We start from the raw sequence: 15,462 nt of genomic DNA, 5'->3' as shown, positions 1-15,462 counted from the left end.
ATGTGTGTGTGTGTGCACATGTGTGCACATGTGTAACAGAAAGATAGATATTAGGGCCTGAATATCAAGAACTGAGCATTTCTCTGATAAAATGCAAACCAAAGGTGGAGATATGGGACCAGCTTCCTGCTTGCTTTTGGGGAATTCTGCAGTTCACCTGATAGAACCCATTGGGCTTCCTATAGGTGCTCCCAGAGGGGTTCAAAGTGCCAGGAGCTGCCTCCCATCAGGGAGCACTTTGGCAGAGCACCTCTCACACCCCTTGGTGTCCACAGTGACCCAGCACCGACTGCATAGAAAGGGGCCTGGCTGGGGGCCAGGGGAGCAGAGGGGAGAAGGACCCTACCTGTTGGGTGGGTGTATATTTAACCGTGTGAGAGTAGTCATAATTATCGATGATATCCAAATCCTTCACTGCATCGCCAGGAAGAGGGCTGTTGAACTGCACGTTGAGCGGGGCTTTCCCAGCCCCCTTGGTGTAGACAGTGAAGTGGGTCGGTTTCCCATTTTCCACACCTGGAAAGATATACTGTGAAGTGAGGAGACAGACCAGCTGGAGTAGTTTCACTTTGAGAACCCGTCAGACAGGTTCAACAGCACCAGGTCTATTATGACAGCCAGCAACGGGCCTGGCCAGCCACTGCTGCATCAGAGCTGCACAGAAAACCTGCCAGCTTGGTGTTGGTGTTGGTGGAGATGAAGTTCCTCAAGGCCGTGGATGAAACACGCCCAGTGCCACCGGCTGGCAGAGGGGCCCAGGACAACCTAGACGTGCCATCTTACCTGCTTTGCTGAGCCCTGGGCCTTCTGCCTTCACTTTGCTGGCATCGTGGGAAGGGTCAACTTTGACTCTGAAAGGGCTGGCGGGGATTTCCTGTAGCAGAGACACAGTCTTAGTAGGAAAGCCCCTGAAGCAACAGCCAGAGCTCAGGGAGCCTTCAACAAAGGGTGAACCTTAGCATCACTCTGACTTAGCGAGTGGTGAGCAGACTTCTATTACCACAGGTAAACAGAAGGGTAAGATAAGCCAAAAGGGCCCAGCATTGGGAAAGGGCCTTCTATAACAGGTCACTCTCTAATGCCTGGATCCCTGATGTCACAAACAAACCCGAGGACTTTGAGCCTTTAATACTGAATGTTGAGTACTCAGGATGAAAAATGCCAACAAGAATAAAACCAAAAACGACAATAATACATGGGGCTGGGGGAAGGAAATGTCCTCCAGGGACAGCTGAGAGCTAAGGTCTGGGGAAATGCAAGAAGTGATCAGAGACAGAATGATTATAATTCTTCAAAAAGAATGTTGCAGACTATTGGAATAAAGGCAGAAGAGGTTAAATGGATGTCAAGACCACTACCTTTAGGCACAGAACATTCTACTAAGATTTCCATTTTTATGTAAGGTTAATTTTAATCCCTAGGATTTCAAAATTCTCTCTTTCAGGATCCTGCTCACCCTATCTTCACTATTGCATACCTGAAACTTCAAATCACCTCTCTCTATAAAAATTTAAGGGTGGAGACCACAGTCATTGCTTCAAAGGCATCAAAGTAGAACATATCTAGAAGCTAACTGCATTTCAACCAAAATATTGATGAAAATTTATTACAAACTAGTCTCTCTCCAGACCCCTGCTTTTAACCACTGAACACACTGCCTCACTTTTGTTAGAAAGTGGTAATAATTTAGCTCTGGGTAAATTTTTTTTCCTTCTTGGTTGTAAGGAGCCAGAGAGAAAACGATTGAGCAGTGTTCTCAAGACAACTTCCCTGTCAGTAAAACACCAAAAAGGAGGCCAAATGTGGTGGCTCATGCCTATAATCCCAACACTTTGGGAGGCCAGGTGGGCCTGAGGTCAGGAGCTCGAGAGCAGTCTGGGCAACCGTCTCTACTAAAAATGCAAAACAATTAGCTGAGTGGCCAGGCACGGTGGCTCACACCTAGAATCCCAGCACTTTGGGAGGCCAAGGCAGGCGTATCATCTGAGGTCAGAAGTTTGAGACCAGCCTGGCTAACATGGTGAAACCCCATTTCTATAAAAATACAAAAAAATTAGCCAGGCGTGGTGGCCTGTAATCCCAGCTACTTGGGAGGCTGAGGCAGGAGAATCACTTGAACCCGGGAGGCAGAGGTTGCAGTGAGCCAAGATCATGCCATTGCACTCCAGCTTGGGCAACAAGAGCAAAACTCCATCTCAAAAAAAAAATAAAAAAATAAAAACAAATTAAAAAAAAATTAGCTGGGTGGTGGTATGAGCCTGTAGTCCCCAGCTACTTGGGAGGCTGAGGTGGGAGGATCACTTGAACCTGGGAGGCAGAGGTTGCAGTGAGCCAAGATCACACCACTGCACTCTAGCTTGGGTGAAAGAGTGAGACTCCATCTCAAAAATAATAATACTAACAAAACACCAAAAAGTAGATGAGACATGCACACAAGTGGCCAAAGAGAATCCAGGCCTACTCCACCCATCTCCTCCCAGGCCCCACCACGTACCTGAGATGCAAAGAGAACTTTGATAGTGTATCGCCCAGCAGCAGGAGGCACATATTTGACTGTGAACGTATCATTGGCATTGTGAATAATGTCAAAATCCACGTCTTCCTCATCTTCACTTAACACCCGGGCATCACACTTAATGCCAACACTGACATCACCTGGAACAGACCAGCTTATTAGCACCAGCTTACAAGAAACAGCATGTCCTGTGCAATCTCTTCCAGCTCAGGTTAACACCCTCAAAAAGCAATTGGGAAGTTTCTAGTAAGAAACCTGAGAAAGAGTAAGGATTTGGGGAAAGGGATGATGGATTAGCAAAGATATCACTAAGGAATGACTCAGAGGCTCAGTAGATGATTACCTATTCAGATGGACTACTTCCTAGTTCAAAAGGCATTGAAACGTTATGAAAAGAACTGCCTTCCCCACGGAGCAATGATCACTGGGTTGAACAAAGCCCTTTCTCACCTTCCCCAGCCTCAGTACAGTCCACCGTGAAGTGTGTAGGTTCATTTGCCTTCAGACCACTTCTCTCCACACCTGGCCCAAACACTTTGACCTTCTGAGGATGGCTACCTTGCCCGATGTTGACCTAGAGAAGACATGGAGAAGGTCATCAAGTTCTCCTCCACTTGGACCCAGTAAAATACTATTAAAAAACATTGTTAGAAATAGTTCTTCTGAGCAGGCTGGAGCACTCTGCCCTTCGGGCCCCTCCATCATTCAAGGCCCACCAGGGATGGGTTCCTTCCATATGTCTGCCTTGGCTGTCAGGCATGGATCCCAGACCTGGTGTATGACCAGGCATTTCCATAAAACAGCCAGGATTCTGCCTCACAACCTACCCTGTAGGGGCTGTGCGGGATGTTCACGCCTCCCCAGACCACAGCAATGGTGTGCTTGATGGCCTTCACCGGGGTGTATGAGCATGCATATGTGCCGTCCATCCGGTTCTTCATCTGGATGTCAATGCGTTGGCCTTCCCCATCCTGCAAAAAAGCCAGAGCTAGGACCAGAGGTGGCCCTCACACTGTCTCTATCAGACAGGGTCACTGTGGCCTCCCAAGACAGCCAAGTCACCACTTGCTTATACAACAAAACTTCATGGACCAACTACAATGTGCCATATTTTCACAACACGGTGACAACCAGTGACAAAATATGACATGCATTTATTTATTTTTAGTTATTAAGAGCAAGTGACCCAAAAACAAAGCTTTGGCCACTCAATTCCTGCATTTAAGTCCTTTGGCCAAATTCAATTAGATTAAATAAACATACTTTTTAAATCCTTGTTTACAAATCTCCCCCCATGGCCTCAGCAGCTTCAGCCACACCAAAAGACATTATAGAATAACCTGAAACAAACAAGCCTCATTTCCACAGAATATAAATCAGAAAGCTGATTTTTTTAAAGCCCAGTACTCTACATGGTAGTCTCACTGAACCCTCACATAACCCTATAAGATAATCTTCTTATCATTTCCACGGTGCAGATGAGGAAACTGAAGATCAGATGGACTCAGCAACTTGCCATTACGTGGTCAGATCTTGTTACCTGACAATTACCTGCACAGGTGGCCCCCTGAAATTTACCTGAGCAAATATCTTTAAGGGAGCTTTTCCAGCATCCTTAGGATCCACAGTGAACTCGGCCAGGTTGTTGACAATGCATCCAGATTTCTCCAAACCTGGCCCGTATGCTCGAACCTGAAGCAAAGGCAGATAGTAAGTCTCTTTCTGTGTAATGCCCCAACTAAACCCTTATACAAAGACAGGTAACCAGGGGGTGGGGGAAGAACAAAATGACCTGTGTCTGGTTTTACAGTATCCACATAAGAGGTTGGTTATGGGAAGTAAAGTGCTAAAGTAGGTTGTAACTTAAAAACAAATGTCTCTCCCTCATAAGGGAGAAAACTCTCTAAACAAATCCAACCCACGGCCTGAAGCCCGCATGCGGCCCAGGATGGCTTTGAATGCAGCCCAACACAAATTTGTAAACTTTCTTAAAATGTTATAAAATTTTTTGCAATTTTTTTTTTGTTTTTGTTTTTGTTCATCGGCTATCATTAGTATTTTATGTGTGGCCCAAGACAATTCTTCTCCTTCCAGTGTGGCCCAGGGAAGGCAAAATATTGGAAACCCCTGTTCTAAAACCATGCCCAAACTAACCCATGCTCCCTGCCTTATTCTGAGTTGACCTAAAGAACTTCTAACAACTGGGGCAGAGACCTCTAGTCATGCCCAGTTTCAACGTTCCCACTTTGAGGGGACTCAGAATCTTTACCACGGACAACATTTGCCCTAGAGGGCAAAGGAATATCATTTGGCCAAAACGGGGTAGCTACCAGCCCAGACTGACATCAGCCTATGGACAGCTGCCCGTGTGGGCCAACAGTAGCACACGTGGCCTCTGGGGCCAACTCCCTGTCAGCCAGGCTGGCTCAGACTTGATGCTTATCAGCCTGCTAAGGGTTTGAGAGGACACTCTTGGAAACATTGCTCCAACTTAAGAGACACGGAACTAGGAAAAAAAAATCCTTTATCTATGGAGCACCTTGAAATAATAACTATAGAAAATGGCTGTAAGACTGACATATGATCCCCGGAGTTGCAAGAAAATAACAGCTTATGGAGCTCCCTGCATGGGCCAGGCATAAGCCAAAGGCGGTCTTTATGCATGCCACCTCCTGAATCATCCTAGAAGCTCTCTAGAAGCAGAGACTACTATCATTCCTGTCTTATAGAGGAAGACACCAAGAGTCAGATAGGTAAGTTACTTGCCCAACACTATAAAAGTGCTAAGTGCTACTACCAGGATTCAAATGTAGGCCTGGGCTGGGTGTGGAGGCTCACACCTGTAATCCCAGCACTTTGGGAGGGCCGAGGCGGGTGGATCACTTGAGGCCAGGAGTTCGAGACCAGCCTGGCCAACATGGTGAAACCCCATCTCTACTAAACAATACAAAGATTAGCCAGCTGTGGTGGCACATGCCTGTAGTTCCAGCTACTTGGGAGGCTAAGGCACGAGAATCACTTGAACCCAGGAGGCAGAGGTTCCAGTGAGCTGTGATCATGCCACCGTACCCCAGCCTGGGCGACAGAGCAAGAGTCTGTCTCAAAACAAACAAACAAACAAACAAACAAACAAACAAATGCAGGCCTGTTTCCTTCCTAAAATCCAAATGATTCCTCTCTGCCATCTCTCAACATGCTGCTTAAGGCAACTTCGGGCATGGGGGTGAGGAACCAGGGGCCAGGGACAAGAAGACAGAAGCACAGCAGCTGATTCACCAGATCAGGGTTGTAGCCTCCCGTGGCTGGGTGGATGAAGGCCATGTACGGGCTGTCCTTGATGTCTTCGTCGTCACACATGATGTGAACAGCATATTCGCCAGGCTCCTTGGGCCAGTATTTGACATCACACGATCCATCATTCTGGTCGTTGTACTCAATCTTTGCCTGAGAGGGGCCTTCAATGGCAAACCCTAGGGGGTGGAGGTGGAAGGGTCTCCCTGGTTATATGGTGGAAAGCACCTATTCTATGTTACGACAGCTCATTCCCGCTGCCTCCCTAAAAGCCAAGTGTTGGCCAGAAGATTGAAATCTGTTTGTATCCCTTTCTTCCAAAACCAAGCTCATTAAGTCTTCAGTAGAGATGGAAGGGGTGGAAAATATATATATATTTTTTTTTTTTCAAATGTAGGCCTGGGCTGGGTGTGGTGGCTCACACCTGTCATCCCAGCACTTTGGGAGGGCCGAGGCAGGTGGATCACTTGAGGCCAGGAGGATATATATATATATATATATATATAGTATTAAATACATTATATGTATTTTATCATCATCCAACAGGGGAAGTCCAACCAGCAAACCCTTCTGTTGGAGATGTGGCAACATGTGGCAAAAGCCTTGAACCAACACCCACTCTTAGCACCACCAAATCCACTTCTGGGTTTTTATCTGAAGGCAATTACCAAGGATACACAGTCAGCACTGTTTTTATAGCAAAACCCTGGAAATAACTGAAGAGCCTGACAATGGATAGAGCCATACAATGGAATTCCATGGAAGCTATGGAAAATGAAGGCATACCCTATATTTACGCATAAAGATATAAAGACTTGTCTAAGATATTTTCTGTACCAAATCAATATTTGCATGCATATATAGAGAAAAAAGTCTAGAAGGATACACTAAAAGACTTAATATTATCTCTAGACTAAGAATATACAAGACGATTCATATCATCTCTCTAGAAGGGAAAATTAAATGTGATTTCTTATTTTTCTCTTTTGCTTATTGCTATTACCTAAAACGGGTTGCTAAACGACAGTCTGAAGGCCACATCTGGCCCATTGCTTACTTTTGCAAATAAAGTTTTACTGGAACATGGCCACACACGTTTGTTTACGTATTCCTATAGCTGCTTTCAGGCTACAACGGCAGAGTCAAATAACTGTGACAGAGACCATAAGGCCCACAGGTGGAAAATATTTGCCATCTGGCCTTTTATAGAAAAAGCTGGCTGACTCCTGATATAAAATGATCATATATACATTAGACATGTATTTAAAATATACTTCAGCTGTGCTCCAAAGGAAATATTTATCTTCCAAATCCAAATTTCAGCAAAATTCATTCATTCATTCATCTAAACTATAAAGGTCAGTCAACACTATTTGCTAAGTGTTTACTACGTTCCAAGCATTGTTTTAGGCACAATACCCACATAAGGTTTCTGCCCTCAAGGTCTCCTGAATGAATCAATGCTGGTATCAGAGGCAACTGCAAATGTACAGCAGCACGCAGAGATGGCTTAGGGTGGCCAGGAGGCCAGGAAGCTAAAGGTATTGAGGCTAGGCAAGGCCCCAACATCCAGCCTGACACAGCCCGGAAGCCCTGTAATCCTCAGTCCTCCAGAAGATGCTGGTCAGCTGTGTCCACTTACCCAGAGACCCCACTTCAGAGCCAATGGATTCTACCACGAAGTCCGCTGACCGCCCGACAATCCCACCATGGAGCCCAGGGCCCCAAGCACGGACTTTCTGCATACCCGCTTCAGGGCCAACTTGAACTTCAAAGGGGCTACAGGGAAAGGAATAGAAGAAGCATCAAAGAAGAGTAAAGTAAGGTGTCACTATAGCCATAAGCTGCAGTTCCTTTGCACATTCTTTCCACTTGCCTGATCCTTTCATCTGGCATCCCAAACTGCAGCCAAGCCCTTCCTCCTGCAGGCCTCTCACCCATAGCTACTGTTATGTCAACAATATAATGTAATGTGACTGCTTCTGGGAGCTCAGGTGGCCACTGGGTTGGCACTCAAGCCACGCTGCTTTGCACCAGCCTCCTGGCCCTTTACCTTTGTGTGCAGGCCTCCCCAGACTATGACCCTGGAAAGTGAGAGAGTCCACACACTATATCCTGCTTATGCTATAACCAGAAAACTTGGTTGAATGGGCTTTATCTCATACATGAATGAATGTGCTGTAACCTTGGCATGGGAGGCTTAAAAAAAAAAGCGTGGTAGGTATTCGGAACCCAATAATGCCCAAATATTTCTCAAGGCTAACTGAATTTATTCGGAGTTTAAAGTTGCACCTCCAGGGGAGCTGGAAAACACAGAACGCAGAGGGGCAAGTGCAATGCCCACAAGGCAAAGCTGTAGACTGCGTCCCTTGGCCCCTGACAGCACTCACGTAGACGGTCTTAATGTAAACCACAGCAGATTCTGCCCCGTGGCATTCATGAACAAAGGAGTTCATTGAAAAAGAGAATCTCAGTTTATATGCGGGCATCTAGACACACAGCCCATTTGCTCTAACTGCTCCTTCTGCCTCCCCTGCCTCCCACCAGCCCCTAACCACCAGCATTTGATTTAAAGCAAGTCAGCTAAAACCACAGCAACTTTCTGCTGCTTTTGAGAACAGGCCAAATGTCTGTGCTGCTCCGAAAAAAAAAAAAAAAAAGTTTTCAACAAAGCAGATCTCTTTCCCTCCTGCAGCCCGGGAAGCAACTACCCATGAGTCCGCCCTGGGCCGAGCACCCTCCAGAGAAGACCCCTCTGCAGCAGGAGCCTCACCTCTTTGGAATGTGGTGTCCCCCCCATGTGATGGCAATGCTGTATCTCCCCGGGGTGCTGGGGTAATACTCGAATGCGTAGACCCCATCCAGAAAGTCTTTCTGCTTCACCAGCTCCTCCAGACCCTCTGTGGGAAGGAAGGAGATAATCTTTCCAACACAATCCTAGGCCCAAAATGAGAATCAAAAGGACAAGAACAGAGAGGCAGCCACACTGAACAAAACATAAACCATACATAAAAACCAAGTGGGCTGCCCCAGAGTATGGGACCTCTCCCCTCAAAGCCTGGGAGATTATTTCAAAGCTAAAAACACAGCCATCTCTGCTTCAAGGTATGAGGAAATGGAGGATTTCCCAGCTAATTGGCTTTAGAAATCTTGCTTGGCTACGAGGGGCCCTGAGGTCCTGAACTCCCTGGGCCTGCATAAAGATAAATCCAGTCACATTTCAGTATTTCCCAATAATCATAGCTACCCTTCCTAGTCCCCCACAAAAACTGGGGAAGAAGTAAACCTTTAGAAGTATTTGGTATGAGTTTTAGGTTCAGTGTTCCAGCGTATACTTTTCCATCTAAAGCTGGACAACAAAAGCAAGAAAGTCCTCAGACGCTATCTGCAAGAGGACAGGTTTTAGATGTGACGCTGCAAACTCCAAACCCAGCCATCAGGCAGGAACTTGTTTTGTGTTGAGCCCTGAGGTTTGGCCAGGAAAGCCGTTGAGTCAAGCAAGTATTCAAGGTCAGGAGAAAACACACACGTACGCACACATACGCAGAGGCATGCACGCGCGTGCACACACACACACACACACACACACACACCCTCCTTGGCTCCTGTTGGAATAATCTGGGAGGGAAGACAGTCCCCAAGCAGCTTGACTCCAGGTCTGGGCAGTCTAGAACCTCGGCTACCCTCAGGGCACAGCCTGACCCAAAGCCTGGTGCTGTGAAGTCAAATATTAACTTTCTGGAGCTCAGAATGCTCCTGCCCCAGCCTGTTGGGAACACAGAAGGTAAGAGCAATCCTGGTACAGGAAGCTCAAGATTCCACAGGCATGGGAGTAAAACCACCAAAGGCTGCTACACCCGAGACTAGAAGTGCTGAAATGCTTCTCTGTTCCAACGAAAAAAGTGAAGACACCCATCCCCACATCTGCTGTCTCCTTCCCCAAAAGAGGGAGAGAGAATGGGTTGCAGGGTTTAACCTGTACCTCCACAAATGGCATTTATCTACAAAGAAAACTTAATCTTAGGGAATTTTATTCTCCTTCTATAAGCACTGATCATAGTAATTAAGTACTTGACATAATTTCATACTCTATAAAATGTAACCTGTAGTGGGAAAATCACTGGCTTTGGAGACTGTGCTTGAATTCCAGCTCAGATGATTACAAACGCTGTATGACCTTAGGCAAGAGCCTTCCTCTCTGAGCCCAGATGTCTAAAATAAAAAATGAGCCACTTGTTCCAACAGCAGCATTTCCCCAACTCCTTTACATCACTGCTTTTTCTACTCCCAGAAGTCTTGATGTAATGTAAAGCTGTCAAGCCACCCACTGGCCGCATCCAGGGCAGACATTACTAATCAATCACTGCCGTCTTCCCCAAGGAGCCCAGATAGCCTCAAATCCTTGACATAGCCTTCTGGGATTATTGAGGACAACTGGCCGTGGGATGAAATCCATATGCCATGGCTGCAAAGTTAGCCAAAACCACACCTGAGATAGAGAAACAAAGGAACACTTACTAGGACCCTTCATGGTTACACCGAGCTCCCCACTTCCTGCAGCTTTGGTGTCAACCTTGAAATCTGTGGTCTCCCGGATACGGACGCCTTTGGGTTGTAGGCCTCGGCCACTGGCCCGGCAGGCATTTGGATTGCAGGCTGCAAGCACAGTTTTGACATCAATTCAATCTTTCATTCTTTAGTCAGAGTCGTGAAAGCCAAGGTAACCTGGAGCCACCCGCCAAGAAAATATTTGCTTTGCACAAATAGTATGCAGTAGTTGCCCAAGACCAGGGGTCCCACTCAGGGAGCACACCAGGCTAGCAAATACAGACACAATATAACTTTGTCCAGTGACACCACAGAAGGACTGGAGAAAAGTGACTTTGGCAAAGAAAACAGGAGAGCACAGCAAATCCATGCTGTGCTCCTGCTTCCAGCATTTAACCTTTCATTTGTGAAAGGGAGTTAAGGCCGAGTGCTGGACATTATTCAAACCTCACTGCCATACTCAAGGGCTCAGTAATTGGATAGACTGGACTTTTTCAAGTCTTCTTGGAAAATGCAGTACTTGAAAATGCCTGTCTGGGTTCCAAAACCTGGGTCAGCCATTTTTAAGTGTCTAAATGTTGTTGTCTTCCGCCTGAACAACCAGGCAAAAACAACCAACACAGCTTGGAAAGAGACCAGTTCAGCCCCACCTTGGCTGAGGCAGACCAATCTTTTCGTGCTGTCTGTTACAAGGCCTTCAGAATGTGGGTGGCTATAAAGGCAATAATTAGCAGTAAACACCATTGCTGATTTCATTTCCGGGTCTAGCTTGAAAACCTAGAGTTGTAAGTCTAAAAGTTAAGGGCGAAGATAGCTTCCAATATGCCTTACTTGAAATGTCCACAGAACTACTGTTCCATGGTATCTAGAGGTTGATAAAAGATACCTTTATGCCCTAGAATAAATCTTCTGCCCAGCACGGACAACCTTTTCAGTAAATAGAAACGGGAGACTAGTGGGGAAAATGTCATGTTATTAAGTGGCTTTTCCTTTCCAAATCTAACACTGAAAATTTGACAAATCTCTATACAGGAAGGTCACAGACTCCAGAAGACGGGACTCTACTCCACAGACGGAAGGTAATTCCTCCTCTGGTTCCTCCTTCCTGCAATGGCCTTAGCTGGCTATTTGGCAAACAACTGCTTCCCAAAGAGTCATACACATACCCTTGGAGTTAGAGATGATTTTAGATGGTTTATGGATGAACATAAGCTTACGGTGGCACTTTATGGCAAGTGACTTTGGTTTTCCATTGTGAAAGTGATATAAAGTTTCTTTTAACATAAAATAATTTACATCTGTAAACCCAGCACTTTGGGAGGCTGAGGCGGGGAGATTGCTTGAGTCCAGGGGTTTAAGACCAGTCTGGACAACAGAGTGAGACCCCACCTCTACAAAAAAAAGAAAAATTAGGTCAGGCATGGTGGCTTATGCCTGTAAACCCAGCATTTTGGGAGGCCGAGGCAGGTGGATCACTTGACATCAGGAGTTCGAGACCAGCCTGGCCAACATAGTGAAACCCTGTGTCTGCTAAAAGTACAAAAAAACTTAGCCAGGCGTGGTGGTGTGCACCTGTAGTCCCAGCTACTCAGGTGGCTGAGGCAAGAATCACTTGAACCAGGGAAGCAGAAGCTGCAGTGAGCCAAGATCACACCACCACACTCCAGCATGGGTGAGAGAGTGAGACTCTGTCTCAAAACAAAACAAAACAAAAAAAAAAAGAAAAAGAAAAAGAAAAAAAAAGGGTAAAAAATGTAACCAGGCATGGTGGCGCACATCTACAGTCTTAGCTACTCAAGAGGCTGAAGTGGGAGGATCATTTGAGCCTGGGAGGTCGAGGCTACAAGTGAGCCATGATGGTACCACTGCACTCCAGCCCAAAAGACAGAGTGAGACCCTGTATCCTTCCCACCGCGCCCCTGCAAATATATATATATTTTTTTTTTACATATGTAAAATCATTTAGGTGGGAGAGAGGATGTTAGTAAATTAAAAGAAAAAGGTTATTCATTAAATGCTAAATAGTATAGGATGTACAGGCCAGAAAAGAAAAAGGAAGTCCACGAGTGAGGAAAGGTTGGAAAACAATAGTAGAATTAGGAAAGCTATTCAAAATGCTCTCTTATGTAAAAAAGAGCTTTGCTTAGGAATATGTTAGAATTTTTTTTGCCTGTTTTTTCTTTGTCAAGGGGAGAAAAGTTGGTCATACCAGAAGTCAGTCACAATACAATGACAGGACTTCCTCGGAGGGCTTTAATGTGTCTTAAGAAACACACACACACTCATGGAAATTATGAACATGTGCAACAGTCTCAACATCAAAAGAGTAATTGCTGAGTTCATATAAACATTAAATGGGGCTAGAGTCTGAAGGGCACCACCAGCTCCTTCACCATCTAAAAAAGCCCTAGATGTGTTTAAAGGCAATTAGACAGTGGGTTTGGGTTCCGGCTGGACAGGCTGTAATAATAACACCTGCACAGAGTTTCCTAAAATCACACAGAACACGGGCCCAGCTAACATTCACAAGCAGCACAAAGAACTGGCAAGGAAGTCCCACCCAACCAGCCCTTACCAAGCAAGAGGCCTCTGGCCCAGTGGTCTCAACTAGGAAGCCAACAGCTTCAGGGTCCAGGCTGGCCCAGAGGTAGGATTCGGAAGAGGAAGCCACGTCTGCAGACGCAGATTCAGAGGACAGAACAGGGAAAGGCAAGTGTGGGTTAGAAAAGGTAGTACAGTTGGAAAACAAAACAAAACAAAACAAAACAGAAAAAAAGGGGCAACAAAGTCAGAGGGAGAGAGTCTAACATTTGAGAAAAATGCGTACCCCCAGCGCCAGAGGGAGTTTAGCAGAGTAGTTAAGGGTAAGGCCAACAGAGTCTGTGGTTCTAGCCCTGCTGATGCCTTGTAGTACTGATACCTAACGCTATCTAAGCCTCAGCATCTCCACCTGCAAGCTAGGGATAATAATAGCACCTGCAACACACAGGCTGGTGCAATGATTAGATGCAGTCATGGTAAGTGCCTGGGCCAGTAAAGGCCAAGCAATGGAGGCTGCAGGGCCCATGTTGCTGCTGCTAACTTCAGTTATGCTACCGAGTCCTCCCACTGCCTCAGTCCCACCTCCCTCCATGAGGATAATTACTCTCCTGTACATGTGTTTTGGAGAGAAGTAAATGAGTTAATATAAGCAAAGCATTTAGGTCTCTGCGTGGCTCATAGAAGATATTAATATTAATATATTGAGGACAAAGTAAGCCACTTACTGCTGAAGTAGCCCTGGCAGAAAAGGGATAGGCATAAGGTCAATGTTGGGCCCTGACTGTTTTCCTGGCCTCCCTGCCCAGCTGTGCAGTCAGCTTCCCTATGAGAAGCACATGTGGCCAGCAGCCCAGCACTCACCTTCCCCAACCTGCACAACGAAGGGACTCTTAGGAATAGTGTCCCCAGCAAAGAAGATCTTGACCACGTGAGGGCCAGGCTGCATGGGTTTGTACACACATCGATACACCTGGTTTCCTTTGTCTTCCACGAGCAACTCCACGGTGTTCTTCCCCTGGGGATCTTCCACCTCCACACCAATGTCACCCACACCAGCTCCTACAAGAAAGCAAGCATTCCATGAGCCCAAGTCACCCTCTCTGAAAGCTCACTGCTGCTGAGTGCAAAATGCAAACAGGACCAGTGTGGTGGCTCATGCTTGTAATCCCAGCACTTCGAGAGGCCGAGGTGGGTAGATCACTTGAGGTCAGGATTTCGAGACCAGCCTGGCCAACATGGTGAAATCCGTCTCTACTAAAAAAAATACAAAAATTAGCCAAGCATGGTGGCGCACGCCTGTAATCCCAGCTACTTGAGAGGCTGATGTATGAGAATCGCTTGAACCCAGGAGGCGGAGGTTGCGTTGAGCCAAGATCACGCCACTGCACTCCAGTCTGGGCAATAGAGTGATTCTCTGTTCCCCCAACAACAACAACAAAACAAGTAAACAGGAGACAGGCCCTCAGAGAGGTCCACACCAAGATGTTAACAACTATTTTCTAGGGGTTGAAGGGTTTATGGTTGAATGTTTCCTTCTTCTGCATTTTCTATTTACTACATGGAAAAGAAGCCAACAATTCAAGAAGTATGTCTTATTCAAGTGAAGCCTGAGTATTTTAGAGAAGAAAAGCTGGTTTTGAAAAATCTAATATAACACATTTGAAAAAATTGTCTTTGTGATTATTTATTTGATTTAAAAGACAAAAGGTCAGGCCTTCAAGTCCCCGAGGATTATATTTCAGCCTCTGGAAGAAAGCGCAAAGGTCAGATCCATGGAGGAGAGGCACGTTACCTGCCGTATAGATGTCAAAGTAGGTGGGCTTATTGGCGATGTTCCCTACAGCTTCCAACCCTGGACCTTTTGCAGTGACTTTACTGGCATCTCCCTGGGCCTTGTCAACACTCACTTCAAATGGGCTCTTGGAGATGTGCTGTCCTGCAAAGAGGACTGTGACCTATAGGTGACAGATAGGTGAGAAATACATAATCACTTCTCTGTGCCCAGCAAGACTGACATCAAGCCACATACATTGATGATCACCTCTCCTACCCTCCCATGATGGCACACACAAGGTGTCTAGAATAAGGAGCCCTGGAACCAAGTTTAACAGCCTGAATGGGACTCCCACCTGGCCCCTTCAGCCATACAGCTGGGTCTGGGACATCACACCTTTAGCAAAATAAAAATGCTGACCTTATATACACTTAGTCTCTTTAATAGGAAACAAACACATTTCAATCTCTGGACATTGAGTCCTTTCGGGGGCTGAATGGGCCACTATCCCTCAGAATAAAATATGCAGTTCCAGGATTTCAAATCCACAGCCAAACTGTTTTTTCAAGGGACGAAAATCATTCTTAGATACATGGATTTGGGACAAAGTAGAATGATTTCCATCTAAAACTTGAGTCACTGTTCTCATCTCTGAAATTTTTGGGGGGTAATTGGGTTGGGTTTCATGTGAACCTATACTTGACTGGAATTAATTAATTACATTATAAATGCTCCCTTCAAGAGCATTTACTCCAAATGCATCATAGTCTAAGAGTCTAAGAGAACGCTAAGG

The 15,462-nt window shown here is 45.9% G+C and overlaps 1 protein-coding gene across 4 annotated transcripts in view, besides 1 other annotated feature; it reads right to left on the bottom strand.

Moving 5' to 3' along the window:
* The window catches only part of FLNB (filamin B), a 163,830-nt gene that overhangs the window by 59,587 nt on the left and 88,781 nt on the right, over positions 1–15,462 (bottom strand). For all 4 annotated transcript variants that reach the window (NM_001164317.2, NM_001457.4, NM_001164318.2 and 1 more), the window contains exons 7-18: positions 14,688–14,850; positions 13,757–13,954; positions 10,325–10,462; positions 8,580–8,706; positions 7,449–7,585; positions 5,792–5,985; positions 4,094–4,207; positions 3,343–3,486; positions 2,966–3,089; positions 2,495–2,655; positions 784–874; positions 347–516 (exon numbers count right to left, since the gene is read on the bottom strand). In NM_001164317.2, coding sequence (NP_001157789.1) covers positions 347–516; positions 784–874; positions 2,495–2,655; positions 2,966–3,089; positions 3,343–3,486; positions 4,094–4,207; positions 5,792–5,985; positions 7,449–7,585; positions 8,580–8,706; positions 10,325–10,462; positions 13,757–13,954; positions 14,688–14,850 — 1,761 coding nt within the window. The remainder of the gene's footprint in view (positions 1–346; positions 517–783; positions 875–2,494; positions 2,656–2,965; positions 3,090–3,342; positions 3,487–4,093; positions 4,208–5,791; positions 5,986–7,448; positions 7,586–8,579; positions 8,707–10,324; positions 10,463–13,756; positions 13,955–14,687; positions 14,851–15,462) is intronic.
* Positions 614–883: an enhancer, noted in NCBI's record as "active region_19999". NCBI's record gives its function as "activates an Ori minimal core promoter by ATAC-STARR-seq in GM12878 lymphoblastoid cells {active_cell/tissue: GM12878}" and the evidence as "EXISTENCE:reporter gene assay evidence [ECO:0000049][PMID:35858748]".

The sequence above is a fragment of the Homo sapiens genome, chromosome 3 (genome assembly GCF_000001405.40).
Source record: "Homo sapiens chromosome 3, GRCh38.p14 Primary Assembly".
NCBI classification, from domain to species: Eukaryota; Metazoa; Chordata; class Mammalia; order Primates; family Hominidae; genus Homo; species Homo sapiens.
Note: the sequence above shows the minus strand (reverse complement) of the source record. Positions and strands in the feature narration are given on the sequence as shown.